Source organism: Homo sapiens, chromosome 17 (assembly GCF_000001405.40).
Source record: "Homo sapiens chromosome 17, GRCh38.p14 Primary Assembly".
In the NCBI taxonomy this organism is placed as follows: domain Eukaryota; kingdom Metazoa; phylum Chordata; class Mammalia; order Primates; family Hominidae; genus Homo; species Homo sapiens.
In genome coordinates, this window is record NC_000017.11 from 2,051,129 (window position 1) to 2,065,026 (window position 13,898).

Genomic DNA, 13,898 nt, shown 5'->3' on the forward strand with positions numbered 1-13,898 from the left:
GGCGGGCCGCGTCGCCACTGCCCGGTCGCCTCCCGCAGCCTGGCCGGCGCGGCGGCTTTTATAGGCGCGCGTAGTACTCGTGCGGCGGCTCATTCATGCGGCCGCGGCTCCTACACACTGACGCGCTGCCGACGTCAGCGGGGAATTTAGGAAATGGGAAAAGGGGCTATTTATAGTGGCGAGGCGGGGGGTGGGGACCGAGGCGACCGGGAGGGGAGGAGGGGGCGCGGAAGCGGCGGCGGGGTAGGGGGAGCCGCGCCCCTGCCCAGCCGACAAGGGGTTAACTTTCCGGAACCGCGGGCCTGGGGCCGGGGAGGCGGCGCGGAGGGGCGCGGCGGGCCCTTCGAGCTTATTCACGCTCTCCTTCCGGAGCCCCGCGGCTCCTGGGGGTCTTCACGTGGCAGCCCCTTCCCCCTCCTCAGTTCCTGGACCTGACGTTTCTGCCGTCACACCCCGCAAGGCCACTGCGGTGTCGCCACCCTCTCGTCCTGCAGGGTGGGCAGGAGAGGAAGCTGGACTCCCGTGGGGGCCTGGGGCGCAGCGAGGGCTGTGGCGTCGGGGGCCGGGAGAAGAAGAGTAGGGGAGCCCAAAGTAGCCCAGGAGTCTTTAGCGGAGGAACCTGGGCCTGGGAGGGAAGGCCCAGCGGGGATTCAGGTACCACCCAGGAGCTGGAGACCCGAGGGACGGCAGAGAAGTTGGGGAAGGTGGGCCAACCTCCCCAGAAATGATGAGCAACGGGATCCTCTATGAGGGAGCTGGGGGAACGCGCCAGAGGTAGGGGTGAGAGGAATGGGCAGCCTCAGCAAGGGAGAGAGGAAAGGCTGTCAGTGCCACGCTCCAGAGCCTGGCATCCAGGACCCACCTTCGGACCATTTGTGGCACGATGGACGCTCCCAGAGCTCACGTTAGGGTAATAGAGAGTGAAGGAGACCAGCAGCTTGGCCAAGAGGGGCCCCCAGGGGATGAGGAGGACGGTTTCCTGGAGAAGTTAATGTTCCCGGAGACCAGAATTGGCAGGGAGAGCCCATGACTTGTGGGGCAGTTCCCCTGGTTGGGAGCGGGGAAATGCATGGTCCTGGCCCAGCCTGGCTCCATCGAGATGGAGGAAGGGTCTAAATGAGAGGAGTGTGTTCAGACGAGGAGCTGGACCAGGATGGGGAGGGCTGTGCAAGGCATGGCCGGAAGAGCGGGGCAGGGAGAGAAAGGTCGAAGAGTGAAGTGCACAGGAGGGCAAGGCGGTCCTCACCCTGCCTGGGCTGGGGCAGGGCTGTGAGACCCTCCCTTACAGAAGCAATGAGGGCTTGAGGAGGGGGTTAGGGGCCTGGGCTGGGGCAGGGCTGTGAGACCCTCCCTTACAGAAGCAATGAGGGCTTGAGGAGGGGGTTAGGGGCCTGGGCTGGGGCAGGGCTGTGAGACCCTCCCTTACAGAAGCAATGAGGGCTTGAGGATGGGGTTAGGGGCCTGGGCTGGGGCAGGGCTGTGAGACCCTCCCTTACAGAAGCAATGAGGGCTTGAGGAGGGGGTTAGGGGCCTGGGCTGGGGCAGGGCTGTGAGACCCTCCCTTACAGAAGCAATGAGGGCTTGAGGAGGGGGTTAGGGGCCTGGGCTGGGGCAGGGCTGTGAGACCCTCCCTTACAGAAGCAATGAGGGCTTGAGGAGGGGGTTAGGGGCCTGGGCTGGGGCAGGGCTGTGAGACCCTCCCTTACAGAAGCAATGAGGGCTTGAGGATGGGGTTAGGGGCCTGGGCTGGGGCAGGGCTGTGAGACCCTCCCTTACAGAAGCAATGAGGGCTTGAGGATGGGGTTAGGGGCCTGGGCTGGGGCAGGGCTGTGAGACCCTCCCTTACAGAAGCAATGAGGGCTTGAGGATGGGGTTAGGGGCCTGGGCTGGGGCAGGGCTGTGAGACCCTCCCTTACAGAAGCAATGAGGGCTTGAGGATGGGGTTAGGGGCAGTAAGTTAACTTGGGGAGCGGATGTGGGGGAACGCTGAAGAATAAAGACTGTGGGCACAGCAGACCCCTGGGGCAGGTTAGCAATGCACAGACTCCACTGCACAAGATACATGGGGCGGAGGGGCTCTTTGGAAGTCGGGGGTGGGGGATCTGACTCTATCAAAAAGAGAAAAGATAAAAGAGATGGGGTCAGAGAGGCCCTGCATAGTCTGGATTTGGCCTACTAGAGCTCCAGTTTTCTTGCCGCTAGCCTTTGTTCCAGGGATTCTGTTATTCACAAATGCCTTCCTGCTCGGTAGAAGAACTCCTATTCATCCGTCAAAGCCCAGCTCTAGGAGCACTTATGAGGAGCCTCTCCACCTCCCCTCAACACTCCGTAACTTCCACCTCAGGCCGCAGCACGTCCCTCGGGCGAGATGTCGGGGTCCGCCTTCCCTAGAGACCGGCAGCTCCGGAGGCCTCCGTTTTCCTCTTTGGGACCTCACTGCTTCTAAAGTGAGGATGCTATGGGGAGACATGGGAGAGGGAGTGGGTAAGATGGATCCAGAACATGGGGCGGACTCAGGCAGCGGCGGGAATCAGGCGGACTCGTTTGGACCGAAGCCTCCGCCAGGCACCGAAGCCGTGAAGTCGCCTGCGCAGCAAAGGGAGCCTCCGGGGGGCGCCCGAGACCTTGGTGTCGCTCGGGGGCCGCTGGTAGCCGCGCCCGCTGCCCCTCGCCCGGTGACTCAGCCGGTACCTCTGGCGGGGCCATGGGGGCCAGAGGACAGCGCGGGGGGCGGCGAGCGCGGTTGCTAAGCTCTCCAAGGCCTCGGAGGGACAGGATCTGGGCGCACCTCACCGGTTGCCATGGTAACGCAGCGCCCCAGCCCCTCGCGCTCCGCGGTGGAGGGAGGCGCAGCCAATCGGAAGCGGCGGAGTTCTCGGGGACCCCCCCCCCCCCCGCTCCACGCCGTGTGTGGGCGGGGGTCAGGAGGTGCGGGGCGGAGGCGGAGCGTGGGCCGCGGAGATCCGGCGTTCGCAGGAGGCTTGGTGCGCGGCGGGGCTGCACGGGGCCACTTCCGGAGTAGTACTGCGAGCAGCGGCGCGACAGTGCGGGGTCCCCTTTCTCCCAGAAGAGACGTCACCCACACAAACCTGACCTTCACGTGGGGCGCGGGACCTTGCGGGGTCCCAGCCGCAGGCGCCCCTGTTGTTTCCTTCGGGCGGGTGGGTTGGAGAAGAAGTCCACGCGGGATTCTTCAAAACGGCGTACAGGGGGATTCTAGGGCCCCATGGTTACTTCTTTGGACCCCCCGGAGGCGCTGTCCAGCCACTTCCAGTCGCCCTGATGACTCGTCGTGGGTTCCTTTAGGAGACCCGAAAGTTCAGGGCGGGCTGTGTGGGTAACACCTCTGCCCAGGTTCCCGGAGGGCCCTACGTGGCTGCCCCTGGAGTATCCCAGAGCGCTAGGGCTGCGGGAAGGGGCGGGTGTGCTTCTGGAAACATGAGCGCCTGTTAGTATCAGTGCCTGGATAGGGCTGGGGACAAATCAGTTTATGCCGCGCACACCGAATCCATGCGCCTGAGTGAGGGTGGGTGTGTTGGGGAGTGCGTCCAAGTGGACAGTGCCGTACAGTAATGTCTACGGGGAGTTCCAGGAGAGCTCGGCTACTCCTGCGCAGGATAACCTCTCCCCCACCACCCGAGTCCCGTGCTCGCGGGCAGGACTTTTCCGAACTGGGGCTGTGTGCCTAGAAATACGTACATGGGAGCGCTCAGCTCAAAGCCCCAGGGTTTCTGGGACTCGCGTGTCCGGGGTCGGGGTCCCAGGTGGGTACAGGTGGGAGGGCGAACCTGCGGGTAGGGTGGGCCCCTCCCCGCGGGCTCAGCATCTGTGCGCCTCCAGCTCAGGTGCGCGGGAGGAAGGCAGCGGCCTGCCGCGCAGAGCCCTGCGCGCCCGCGAGGTGGCGCCATAGCCGCAGCAGCGCCCGCCGGCCCGGGCCGCTCCAGATAAGAGTGTGCGGAAAGCGCGGCGGGGCTGAGACGCGACCAGGACGCGGGGAGGACGGACCAGCAGGACAGACCGACCGGGGGCCCGGCGGGCGGAGGGCAGCGCAGCCACGTCCCCCCTGGATCCGCCGTCAGCCGGGCCCGGGGCTTTCGACATGCCCCCCAGGTGGGTCCTCGAGCCGGGGACCGGGAGGGACGGGGGACCCGGGACAGCCCGGTCCTCGTGCGTCGGCCGCCTCGGGTGCATCTTCTGGCGCGGGTGCCCCATCGCGGCTGGCGGCTGGCGTTCAGGGCTCCGGGTGTCGTCCCTTTCGGACTCAGGACCACCGGGCCGCGGCTCCGCGCCGGGTTCACGGCGGGGTCAGCGGCCCGGGGCCGGCTCTGCCCGCACATGGGCTGGAGAGGCGAGGGGAAGGGAAGGGAAGGGGAGCTGGCGGGCGGGGCTGGCAGGGGCGCTGCCCTGGCACAGCTCGGGGCCTGGCAGCGGCGGGTGGGGCATCGGCTAAGAGCTGCCACCGCCGCGGGGAGGGGAGCCCGGCCCGCCGGGACCGCAGGTAACGGGCCGCGGGGCCCCGCGGGCCAGGAGGGGAACGGGGTCGGGCGGGCGAGCAGCGGGCAGGGGAGCTCAGGGCTCGGCTCCGGGCTCTGCCGCCGGATTTGGGGGCCGCGAGGAAGAGCTGCGAGCCGAGGGCCTGGGGCCGGCGCACTCCTCCCGCCCTGTCTGCAGTTGGAAAACTTTTCCCCAAGTTTGGGGCGGCGGAGTTCCGGGGGAGAAGGGGCCGGGGGAGCCGCGGAGGGAGGCGCCGGGCCCGCGCGTGTAGGGCCCAGGCCGAGGCCGGGACGCGGGTGGGGCGCAGGCCCGGGTCAGGGCCGCAGCCGGCTGTGCGCCGTGCCCGCCCGGGGCGCTGCCCCCTCCCTCCCCTGGGAGCTGCGTGGCTCCCCCCTCCCCCCCACCTGCTTCCTGCCTCAGCCTCCTGCCCCGATATAACGCCCTCCCCGCGCCGGGCCCGGCCTTCGCGCTCTGCCCGCCACGGCAGCCGCTGCCTCCGCTCCCCGCGCGGCCGCCGCCCGGGCCCCGACCGAGGGTTGACAGCCCCCGGCCAGGGCGGCGCCAGGGCGGGCACCGCGCTCCCCTCCTCCGTATCACTTCCCCCAACTGGGGCAACTTCTCCCGAGGCGGGAGGCGCTGGTTCCTCGGCTCCCTTTCTCCCTACTTGGGTAAAGTTCTCCGCCCTGAATGACTTTTCCTGAAGCGGACATTTTACTTAAATCGGGTAACTGTCTCCAAAAGGGTCACTGCGCCTGAACAGTTTTCTTCTCGGAAGCCCCAGCACCCAGCCAGGTGCCCTGGGGCGTGCAGGCCGCCCTGGCCTCCCCTCCACCGGCGGCCGCTCACCTCCTGCTCCTTCTCCTGGTCCGGGCGGGCCGGCCTGGGCTCCCACTCCAGAGGGCAGCCGGTCCTTCGCCGGTGCCCAGGCCGCAGGGCTGATGCCCCCGCTCAGCTGAGGGAAGGGGAAGTGGAGGGGAGAAGTGCCGGGCTGGGGCCAGGCGGCCAGGGCGCCGCACGGCTCTCACCCGGCCGGTGTGTGTCCCCGCAGGAGAGTGTGCTGGGCAGACGATGCTGGACACGATGGAGGCGCCCGGCCACTCCAGGCAGCTGCTGCTGCAGCTCAACAACCAGCGCACCAAGGGCTTCTTGTGCGACGTGATCATCGTGGTGCAGAACGCCCTCTTCCGCGCGCACAAGAACGTGCTGGCGGCCAGCAGCGCCTACCTCAAGTCCCTGGTGGTGCATGACAACCTGCTCAACCTGGACCATGACATGGTGAGCCCGGCCGTGTTCCGCCTGGTGCTGGACTTCATCTACACCGGCCGCCTGGCTGACGGCGCAGAGGCGGCTGCGGCCGCGGCCGTGGCCCCGGGGGCTGAGCCGAGCCTGGGCGCCGTGCTGGCCGCCGCCAGCTACCTGCAGATCCCCGACCTCGTGGCGCTGTGCAAGAAACGCCTCAAGCGCCACGGCAAGTACTGCCACCTGCGGGGCGGCGGCGGCGGCGGCGGCGGCTACGCGCCCTATGGTCGGCCGGGCCGGGGCCTGCGGGCCGCCACGCCGGTCATCCAGGCCTGCTACCCGTCCCCAGTCGGGCCTCCGCCGCCGCCTGCCGCGGAGCCGCCCTCGGGCCCAGAGGCCGCGGTCAACACGCACTGCGCCGAGCTGTACGCGTCGGGACCCGGCCCGGCCGCCGCACTCTGTGCCTCGGAGCGCCGCTGCTCCCCTCTTTGTGGCCTGGACCTGTCCAAGAAGAGCCCGCCGGGCTCCGCGGCGCCAGAGCGGCCGCTGGCTGAGCGCGAGCTGCCCCCGCGCCCGGACAGCCCTCCCAGCGCCGGCCCCGCCGCCTACAAGGAGCCGCCTCTCGCCCTGCCGTCGCTGCCGCCGCTGCCCTTCCAGAAGCTGGAGGAGGCCGCACCGCCTTCCGACCCATTTCGCGGCGGCAGCGGCAGCCCGGGACCCGAGCCCCCCGGCCGCCCCGACGGGCCTAGTCTCCTCTATCGCTGGATGAAGCACGAGCCGGGCCTGGGTAGCTATGGCGACGAGCTGGGCCGGGAGCGCGGCTCCCCCAGCGAGCGCTGCGAAGAGCGTGGTGGGGACGCGGCCGTCTCGCCCGGGGGGCCCCCGCTCGGCCTGGCGCCGCCGCCGCGCTACCCTGGCAGCCTGGACGGGCCCGGCGCGGGCGGCGACGGCGACGACTACAAGAGCAGCAGCGAGGAGACCGGTAGCAGCGAGGACCCCAGCCCGCCTGGCGGCCACCTCGAGGGCTACCCATGCCCGCACCTGGCCTATGGCGAGCCCGAGAGCTTCGGTGACAACCTGTACGTGTGCATTCCGTGCGGCAAGGGCTTCCCCAGCTCTGAGCAGCTGAACGCGCACGTGGAGGCTCACGTGGAGGAGGAGGAAGCGCTGTACGGCAGGGCCGAGGCGGCCGAAGTGGCCGCTGGGGCCGCCGGCCTAGGGCCCCCTTTTGGAGGCGGCGGGGACAAGGTCGCCGGGGCTCCGGGTGGCCTGGGAGAGCTGCTGCGGCCCTACCGCTGCGCGTCGTGCGACAAGAGCTACAAGGACCCGGCCACGCTGCGGCAGCACGAGAAGACGCACTGGCTGACCCGGCCCTACCCATGCACCATCTGCGGGAAGAAGTTCACGCAGCGTGGGACCATGACGCGCCACATGCGCAGCCACCTGGGCCTCAAGCCCTTCGCGTGCGACGCGTGCGGCATGCGGTTCACGCGCCAGTACCGCCTCACGGAGCACATGCGCATCCACTCGGGCGAGAAGCCCTACGAGTGCCAGGTGTGCGGCGGCAAGTTCGCACAGCAACGCAACCTCATCAGCCACATGAAGATGCACGCCGTGGGGGGCGCGGCCGGCGCGGCCGGGGCGCTGGCGGGCTTGGGGGGGCTCCCCGGCGTCCCCGGCCCCGACGGCAAGGGCAAGCTCGACTTCCCCGAGGGCGTCTTTGCTGTGGCTCGCCTCACGGCCGAGCAGCTGAGCCTGAAGCAGCAGGACAAGGCGGCCGCGGCCGAGCTGCTGGCGCAGACCACGCACTTCCTGCACGACCCCAAGGTGGCGCTGGAGAGCCTCTACCCGCTGGCCAAGTTCACGGCCGAGCTGGGCCTCAGCCCCGACAAGGCGGCCGAGGTGCTGAGCCAGGGCGCTCACCTGGCGGCCGGGCCCGACGGCCGGACCATCGACCGTTTCTCTCCCACCTAGAGCGCCCCTCGCCAGCCCGCTCTGTCGCTGCTGCGCGGCCCTGGCCCGCACCCCAGGGAGCGGCGGGGGCGGCGCGCAGGGCCCACTGTGCCCGGGACAACCGCAGCGTCGCCACAGTGGCGGCTCCACCTCTCGGCGGCCTCACCTGGCCTCACTGCTTCGTGCCTTAGCTCGGGGGTCGGGGGAGAACCCCGGGACGGGGGTGGGATGGGGTAAGGGAAATTTATATTTTTGATATCAGCTTTGACCAAAGGAGACCCCAGGCCCCTCCCGCCTCTTCCTGTGGTTCGTCGGCCCCCTCCCCCGGCTCCGCGCTGCTCTTAGAGGGGGAGGGGTGTCACTGTCGGGGCACTCCTAGCCCTACCTCCGGCCCTTGCGACCACACCCATTCTCACTGTGAATCTCCCCGCTGGGGTCGGAGCGTCGGGCAGAGTTGGGGAGTGGGGAGGGGACTGAGCCGGCCGGAGGGCCCCCCGCACCCCCGCTCCCACCCACCCCGGGACTGATAATGTGAAGTTCCTCATTTTGCACAAGTGGCACTAGCCCCAGGGCCAACCCTTCCTTCCTCAGTCACCAAGGGCGGGGAGTTCTGGAGTCGGAAGGCGAAGAGCCTACCACCAGGTCTCCCACTCCCGCGGTGCCCTCCCTTCCCTTCCCTGCGGCCCCGGACCATATTTATTGCATGCGCCCCGGCGGCCCCCCATCCCGAGCCCAGGCTGGGCTGGGCTGGAACGCGGTCTCTTTAGCTCCCTCCTCTTCGTTTGTATATTTCCTACCTTGTACACAGGCTCTTCCAGAGCCGCTTCCATTTTCTATACTCGAACCAAACAGCAATAAAGCAGTAACCAAGGACCCCGACCCCGCTGCTCTCTTCTGCCCCTGCACAAGGACCTGGATGGGCTGCGCCCGCTGGGTGGAGGAGCCAGAAAGGGCCACCCTCACACAGGTGCAGAGGCTTGGACCTGCCTCCCTCCCCAGTCCCAGAAACAGATCAGCAAGAGGTCAGGTATGTTTCATAACTAAAAATTTATTAAGGAAACAAAACCAGTGCTGCAAACGGGACAGAAAGGAGAGCTGGGTCTCCCTCCCGACCACCCAGTCATCGGCCTTCCAGCTGGGGAGAGAATCTTAAAGGAGAGGCCGGGGACCCTGTACTCCAAAGAGCCCAGTCTTCTGAGACTCTAGGGGACTCCTACCCCCAAACTACTGGCCTTGGCTCCCCTACACGGTACCCCATCGCTTCTGGCATAGTCCTGGGCCTCAGGGAGGGCAGAGCTGCGCACCCATCCTCCAGGCAGGCTGTGCAGTCAGGCCATGGGCTCTGGGGTATCCCCCACTGGTCCCATTAAGATTTGCCCCTGGCTCCACCGAAAACCCCGTCTTCCCCTAAGTTGTCCTTGTCTCTGGCCCTGGGTTTCAGGAACTCATTCTTGGTAAGGAAGCCTCCCCACTGAGGTACCAGCTAAAGGGGCAAGGAAAGGGCCCCTGTGTCAGTGTCAGTTTTTCCGGGGAGTGAGGGCAAAGCTAGAAACCAGGTTAGGCGACGGTGCCCCAGCACTGGAATGCCTCAGGCTGGGCTGTCCACGCCTGGAAGTTTCTCCCAGCACAGGAGCCGAGGGTGGAAGGCCCTGGGTGGGAGACCTGTACTAGGTTCCTGCCATGGGTAGTAGAGAGGGAAAGTTCAGAGTGAGAACCCCTATGACGAGGAACCGCGGTGAAGAAATGAAGGGGATCAGGGAGGTGAAAAGGATCAACTAGAAGGGGAAGAAGGGTGAGGGGCTATTCTGGAGGGAGGGTAGGCGGGCAAGGAGGGGTGAAGGGGGAGCTGAGGGGAGTCAGGACATTTCCTGAAGAGGAAGCTAGACGGAAAGAAAGGCCAGTGAGGAGAGAGGGAGCAGGTGGAGGCCACCCGAGAGCACGGGCCTGAGACCAGATGCCCCTTTCCTCTAGACTCATGACTGTCCACGGGGACGCAACTGGCGAAGTGTGAGGGACCCAGGTTGATAAGGGCAGGAAGAGGAGCAGCAGGAAGGGTGTGTGGTAAGTCTGGGGTGGATGGTAGAAGAGGTGGGGGCCCAGGGCTGCTGTTAGGGACATGCTGTCTAGAAGCCGACTTGGGTTCATGGGCGAGTCCAGGCCTCAGGGAGACTGGGGACACACACCCTGGGCACTTCTTCCTGACTTAACCAAAGCCTCTTGAACACATTCACGACAGAGGTTCTGAAGATGAAAGGGAACTGTGATTTCACTGCATCTGACGGAAACTCAGAACCCCTGCCCTGTCTCCACTGGAGAAAGTGGCTGCGTCCCCAGGCGAGAAGGCCCTCCCTCAGCCTTGGAATGAGACGGGGGAGGGAGAAAGGCTGAGAGCATGGGCGGCCTATCTGGCTTGCCCAGCTGCTGTTGCTGTAGCCAGCCACCTCCCTGCTAAATCCTGGCAGCCCAGGAGGGTCCCAGCAGCTTCCGCCCGATCCTTGGGAGGGGCTCTGTGAGGAGCAGGTCCCCCACAGCATGGCCGTGGCGTGGGTTGGAAGAGGATGGTTTATTGTCTGGGTGGATTGGTGGCTCAGGCACGTGGGCATCTTCCGTGCTACACTGGGCGCCTGGTGGCCTTTCAGGAACGGTTCCACGGGGGGGGGGCCCCAGTGTGGCTCCCTCAGCCCACCTGGGCCCACGTGAGGAAGGCTGGGATGTCCCGTACAGGAACATTCCTTGTGAGCGCCTTCACACGCAGGTTCCGGTCATCCGTCAACAGCACCACCTCCCGCAGTAGCCGGATTGGCTCCTCTGTGGGCATGAGAGAGCAGAAGGCTGTCACTGAGGACAGGAGGCAGAGGGCTGGCTGCTCTTCTCACCCTGGAGAATGTGGTCCTGGGGAGGGGGTGCCACGCTAGCCGTGTCTTGGCTCTTCTACCAGTCCTTTCCTCCGTCCGGGCTCTCAGCCCCGGGGACCCTCCCCTGCTGGCCTAGAGAGGGCTGCACTGGGCTTCTGCCTTGACTCCGGCCTCCCATACAGGACTCTCTTCTGCCTAGTTCCCAAAAGCTGCCCAAACCCGTCAGCCTCCCAGGACCCTAAACTGAGGGAATAGAAGCAGCCCCTTGACCTCTACTCCTTTTTACCACATGGCTGGCCCCCAGATCACAACACCGCTCTCCCCACACCCCACTTTTTTTTTTTTAACAAGTCCTCTCCCTCTAAAAGCCAGCAGGTTGAAGCTTTACGCATCCAGAGGCAGAAAACTAAAGATGGAACAGAAAATGTATCCAGGGTTTTCCAGATGTGGGGAGAGGGGTTAAGGGAGCCCTGAGGAGAGGAGAGGGTAAGGGTCTTGGCAGAATTGTGCCAAGGGCACACCAAGGCTTTGGCCAACCGGTCGCCCCTGCTAAGTAACAGTAATCCATGTATACAGGCGAAAGTCTCTAAGAGGACAGAAGAGTAAAAAGGAAGAGTAGAGTTAAGATGATGATCCCAGTTCTCCGTCTTGTACCCCAGGGAAGACCTGTGTATCCTTCCAGGTTTCTTTAGGCACATTTACAAGTACATACACTTGGACATATAACCTTTTTTTCCTACAGCATCATGATCATATTAGCCACACTTTCAGAGTATATACTTAAAAGGTCTTGCTATAGTGGCACAGATATCTTTCATTCTTTTTAGATGACTTTTTTTTTTTTTAAGCACAGTCTCTCCACTACCTCTCTTTCCCTAACTCCCTAATCTTTAACACATTGGAGAGAATTTAAGCCAGGGACAAGCACTCACACAAGTGACATCCCTACCCTGACAGGCCTGCTTGGGTGGCAGGTCTACTCGTCAGTCCCAGGCTGGGCATTTCCTGACAGAGGTCCAGGTCCGGCAGACAGCAAGGCACAGGAAGTGTCCTGCTGTGCTCACTGACTGCGTGGGCTGGCGGGGGTGGGGGGCTGCAAATATCCATGTCGGACCTGAGCAGTCTCAGGCTTGCCAGCTCCAGGCAGGGAGGCTGAGAACTGGCTTTCAGCCTGGGGAGGAGTTTGGAGGATTCGGGAGGGAGAGGTTTGTGGGGTTGGTGGTGGCGAGAGAAGAGGACAGGAGGAAGGAGAGTGTGAAGGGAGGCAAGGGGCTGTGGGCAGAGGGGAAAGGAAGGTGGCCTCGGGTGAGGGGATACTCAGAGACTACTCAGCTGCCTGGGCCAGGCCCCTCTGCAGATAAGTGTGGCTGGGGTGGTGGTATGCAGGGCTGTGTGGGGCTCCCAGCTGACTGGCTGCGTCTGTAGCAGCCCCACTATTCCTGCCCTGGGCCTCAAACCAGGAGCGTCCCAGGCCTTAGGTCAGCTAACCAAGGCCCGACATTGCTGGCAGGGGTCTGCAGGGGTTTCTGTGGATACTTTGACATTTTTCACAATAAACATCCTCTGTTTTGACACTGGTAACTTCACTTTGTTAGAAACCAGAGACTGTCATCTTGTCAGGCCCCATCCGCCATAATCCACATGATTTTAAAATTCAACATCGTTTACACATAAACATTTAGTGACGGTTTCTCTGTGAATCTGACAAGTTAATCTGCTAAGAATTCACACTGACAAATGGGCTTTGATTACACCAGCCATTGCTGATGTCATTCTGATAGGGGCGGTCCCCCGGATGGCAATGGGTTCCTGTAGGCTGTTTGGGGTGAAGTCGGGGGTGGGAGGACTAGTAGGACCAAAGCCAAAATGTGTCCGTTCTGAGAAAGAAAGTTCTGAGGCTGGGGTGGGGCCCAGCAGTCCTGGAACCACACTTCCCAACAAGGCCTTCAGCAATCCCGCCTACCTTTCTCTCAGGAGGTACCCCTCTAGGAAGCTCAGGCTTGCCAGCTCCAGGCAGGGAGGCTGAGAACTGGCTTTCAGCCTGGGGAGGAGTTTGGAGGATTTGGGAGGGAGAGGCTTGTGGGGTTGGTGGTGGCGAGAGAAGACGACAGGAGGAAGGAGAGTGTGAAGGGAGGCAAGGGGCTGTGGTGGGCAGAGGGGAGAAGAAGGTGGCCTCGGGTGAGGGGATACTCAGAGACTACTGAGCTGCCGGGGACAGAACATAACCTCCTCTGTTTGGCTCAGCCAGGTCTCCTTTTATCACTTTAATGCTCATATCTGGTCCCAAGGGATATGGCATGCAAACCTGGTGGCAGGACAGGACCTCTCTTGAGTAGCGGCTGTGGGCTCGTAACCAGCCCCTAGTAAAGAGACTCATGCAGGAGTGAGGGGCTGTGTCTGTATGGGGAGAGGACGCAGGAGAGAGTCAACTCCCAGAGCAGCCTGAACACAAGGGCTAGAAAGAAACACGCACAGAAAGGAGAGAGCAGCAGAGACGGAAAGGCAATGACAAGAGACCACTTATAGGTAGACAGAAACGAAACGGTGAGAACTGCCAGCTCTGCAGATGACACAGAGCTGGCAGGTCCTAGGAATTCCTTCCAAATGAAAAAAATGCCAGAATCCTGGGAGCCAGGAGCAGAAAACCCTAGTGTCATTGACCTGTGGGGTGAGGCATGAAGGCCAGCTCAGGGTTGAGGGTGAGGTGGTCAAGCGCTTGGGTGAGAAACCCAGAGTGGGCCTTTGGCCCAAAGATGAGATTCTGCTTACCCCAAAAGGTCTTGAAAACCGGGCTGAGGGCTCAGTCCTCAAGCTCTCACCAACCTCAAACTCTAGCCAGCCTTCAAAGTGCTACAGCTTGTGACCAAAGAGACCAGGAAGCAAAGCCCACTATTCACTGGGGAAATGCCTCTGCCCCAGGCCTGAAATAGGGTAAACACTCAGGGGTGAACAGAGAAGGTAGGAAGGTAAGCATGGCCAAGAAAGGGAAGTGTGCCCCAGGGACCCCTGGGGGGCTGCCCTCAGAGCTGCAGAGGGCTGGGCTCGGGAGACCATGGCCAGCACCAGCTACAGTGAATCATAAAGACATTCTTGCTGTCAGACGGAACTCACTGAGGACACCCAAGAAAGGAAACGGATGCATGCGGGGTGAAGAACCTCGCGGCCTAGGGCTGGGCTTCCTGGGCTAGGCTCATCTCTAGTTGGCCCAGGGTGCACCTGGCATTCCCTGGGGCTGGGGGAGCCAGGACAGGGAGGTTGGGCCTCAGGCATACATCAGCCCTGAGCACTGATTCCTTAGACTTCCCAGGCCAGAGTCAGTGGAGCCCTTCTCAGGGGCTGAGGATGGGTAGGATGAGG

General features: G+C 63.9%; 2 protein-coding genes across 14 annotated transcripts in view, besides 19 other annotated features; one reads left to right on the forward strand and one right to left on the reverse strand.

Annotated features, from left to right (window-relative positions):
* Positions 81-976: an enhancer, noted in NCBI's record as "H3K4me1 hESC enhancer chr17:1954503-1955398 (GRCh37/hg19 assembly coordinates)". NCBI's record gives its function as "activates a minimal SCP1, AML or CMV promoter by ChIP-STARR-seq in primed H9 embryonic stem cells {active_cell/tissue: H9 hESC(primed)}" and the evidence as "EXISTENCE:reporter gene assay evidence [ECO:0000049][PMID:30033119]".
* Positions 2,539-3,008: a silencer, noted in NCBI's record as "silent region_7971". NCBI's record gives its function as "represses an Ori minimal core promoter by ATAC-STARR-seq in GM12878 lymphoblastoid cells {active_cell/tissue: GM12878}" and the evidence as "EXISTENCE:reporter gene assay evidence [ECO:0000049][PMID:35858748]".
* Positions 3,759-4,258: a silencer, noted in NCBI's record as "silent region_7972". NCBI's record gives its function as "represses an Ori minimal core promoter by ATAC-STARR-seq in GM12878 lymphoblastoid cells {active_cell/tissue: GM12878}" and the evidence as "EXISTENCE:reporter gene assay evidence [ECO:0000049][PMID:35858748]".
* HIC1 (HIC ZBTB transcriptional repressor 1) lies at positions 3,975-12,113 on the forward strand. Of its 2 annotated transcripts, none has more exons than NM_006497.4 (2): positions 3,975-4,110; positions 5,543-12,113. In NM_006497.4, exon 2 carries the CDS (start codon positions 5,563-5,565, stop codon positions 7,705-7,707), a length of 2,145 nt encoding a protein of 714 aa, NP_006488.2. In that variant the 5' UTR covers positions 3,975-4,110; positions 5,543-5,562; the 3' UTR covers positions 7,708-12,113. The 2 variants fall into 2 exon arrangements, with proteins under 2 accessions (NP_006488.2, NP_001091672.1); NM_001098202.1 differs by lacking the exon at positions 3,975-4,110 and adding an exon at positions 5,182-5,218 and having other exon boundaries at positions 5,543-8,559.
* Positions 4,399-4,448: a silencer, noted in NCBI's record as "silent region_7973". NCBI's record gives its function as "represses an Ori minimal core promoter by ATAC-STARR-seq in GM12878 lymphoblastoid cells {active_cell/tissue: GM12878}" and the evidence as "EXISTENCE:reporter gene assay evidence [ECO:0000049][PMID:35858748]".
* Positions 4,489-4,898: a silencer, noted in NCBI's record as "silent region_7974". NCBI's record gives its function as "represses an Ori minimal core promoter by ATAC-STARR-seq in GM12878 lymphoblastoid cells {active_cell/tissue: GM12878}" and the evidence as "EXISTENCE:reporter gene assay evidence [ECO:0000049][PMID:35858748]".
* Positions 4,949-5,068: a silencer, noted in NCBI's record as "silent region_7975". NCBI's record gives its function as "represses an Ori minimal core promoter by ATAC-STARR-seq in GM12878 lymphoblastoid cells {active_cell/tissue: GM12878}" and the evidence as "EXISTENCE:reporter gene assay evidence [ECO:0000049][PMID:35858748]".
* Positions 5,299-5,428: a silencer, noted in NCBI's record as "silent region_7976". NCBI's record gives its function as "represses an Ori minimal core promoter by ATAC-STARR-seq in GM12878 lymphoblastoid cells {active_cell/tissue: GM12878}" and the evidence as "EXISTENCE:reporter gene assay evidence [ECO:0000049][PMID:35858748]".
* Positions 5,779-5,888: a silencer, noted in NCBI's record as "silent region_7977". NCBI's record gives its function as "represses an Ori minimal core promoter by ATAC-STARR-seq in GM12878 lymphoblastoid cells {active_cell/tissue: GM12878}" and the evidence as "EXISTENCE:reporter gene assay evidence [ECO:0000049][PMID:35858748]".
* Positions 6,029-6,158: a silencer, noted in NCBI's record as "silent region_7978". NCBI's record gives its function as "represses an Ori minimal core promoter by ATAC-STARR-seq in GM12878 lymphoblastoid cells {active_cell/tissue: GM12878}" and the evidence as "EXISTENCE:reporter gene assay evidence [ECO:0000049][PMID:35858748]".
* Positions 6,269-6,648: a silencer, noted in NCBI's record as "silent region_7979". NCBI's record gives its function as "represses an Ori minimal core promoter by ATAC-STARR-seq in GM12878 lymphoblastoid cells {active_cell/tissue: GM12878}" and the evidence as "EXISTENCE:reporter gene assay evidence [ECO:0000049][PMID:35858748]".
* Positions 6,849-6,938: a silencer, noted in NCBI's record as "silent region_7980". NCBI's record gives its function as "represses an Ori minimal core promoter by ATAC-STARR-seq in GM12878 lymphoblastoid cells {active_cell/tissue: GM12878}" and the evidence as "EXISTENCE:reporter gene assay evidence [ECO:0000049][PMID:35858748]".
* Positions 6,949-6,998: a silencer, noted in NCBI's record as "silent region_7981". NCBI's record gives its function as "represses an Ori minimal core promoter by ATAC-STARR-seq in GM12878 lymphoblastoid cells {active_cell/tissue: GM12878}" and the evidence as "EXISTENCE:reporter gene assay evidence [ECO:0000049][PMID:35858748]".
* Positions 7,034-7,536: an enhancer, noted in NCBI's record as "H3K27ac-H3K4me1 hESC enhancer chr17:1961456-1961958 (GRCh37/hg19 assembly coordinates)". NCBI's record gives its function as "activates a minimal SCP1, AML or CMV promoter by ChIP-STARR-seq in primed H9 embryonic stem cells {active_cell/tissue: H9 hESC(primed)}" and the evidence as "EXISTENCE:reporter gene assay evidence [ECO:0000049][PMID:30033119]".
* Positions 7,034-7,548: a biological region, named in NCBI's record as "H3K27ac-H3K4me1 hESC enhancer GRCh37_chr17:1961456-1961958".
* Positions 7,229-7,548: a silencer, noted in NCBI's record as "silent region_7982". NCBI's record gives its function as "represses an Ori minimal core promoter by ATAC-STARR-seq in GM12878 lymphoblastoid cells {active_cell/tissue: GM12878}" and the evidence as "EXISTENCE:reporter gene assay evidence [ECO:0000049][PMID:35858748]".
* Positions 7,569-7,658: a silencer, noted in NCBI's record as "silent region_7983". NCBI's record gives its function as "represses an Ori minimal core promoter by ATAC-STARR-seq in GM12878 lymphoblastoid cells {active_cell/tissue: GM12878}" and the evidence as "EXISTENCE:reporter gene assay evidence [ECO:0000049][PMID:35858748]".
* Positions 7,679-7,868: a silencer, noted in NCBI's record as "silent region_7984". NCBI's record gives its function as "represses an Ori minimal core promoter by ATAC-STARR-seq in GM12878 lymphoblastoid cells {active_cell/tissue: GM12878}" and the evidence as "EXISTENCE:reporter gene assay evidence [ECO:0000049][PMID:35858748]".
* Positions 8,199-8,268: a silencer, noted in NCBI's record as "silent region_7985". NCBI's record gives its function as "represses an Ori minimal core promoter by ATAC-STARR-seq in GM12878 lymphoblastoid cells {active_cell/tissue: GM12878}" and the evidence as "EXISTENCE:reporter gene assay evidence [ECO:0000049][PMID:35858748]".
* SMG6 (SMG6 nonsense mediated mRNA decay factor) overlaps positions 8,711-13,898 on the reverse strand; it is a 243,947-nt gene continuing 238,759 nt past the window's right edge. For 9 of the 12 annotated variants that reach the window (XM_011523769.3, XM_047435696.1, XM_005256569.5 and 6 more), the window contains one exon: positions 8,711-10,494. In XM_011523769.3, the coding sequence (XP_011522071.1) occupies positions 10,364-10,494 (131 nt within the window). In that variant the 3' untranslated portion in view covers positions 8,711-10,363. The remainder of the gene's footprint in view (positions 10,495-13,898) is intronic. The other 3 variants (NM_017575.5, NM_001256827.2, NM_001282326.2) reach the window with 1 other exon arrangement.
* Positions 13,207-13,376: an enhancer, noted in NCBI's record as "active region_11464". NCBI's record gives its function as "activates an Ori minimal core promoter by ATAC-STARR-seq in GM12878 lymphoblastoid cells {active_cell/tissue: GM12878}" and the evidence as "EXISTENCE:reporter gene assay evidence [ECO:0000049][PMID:35858748]".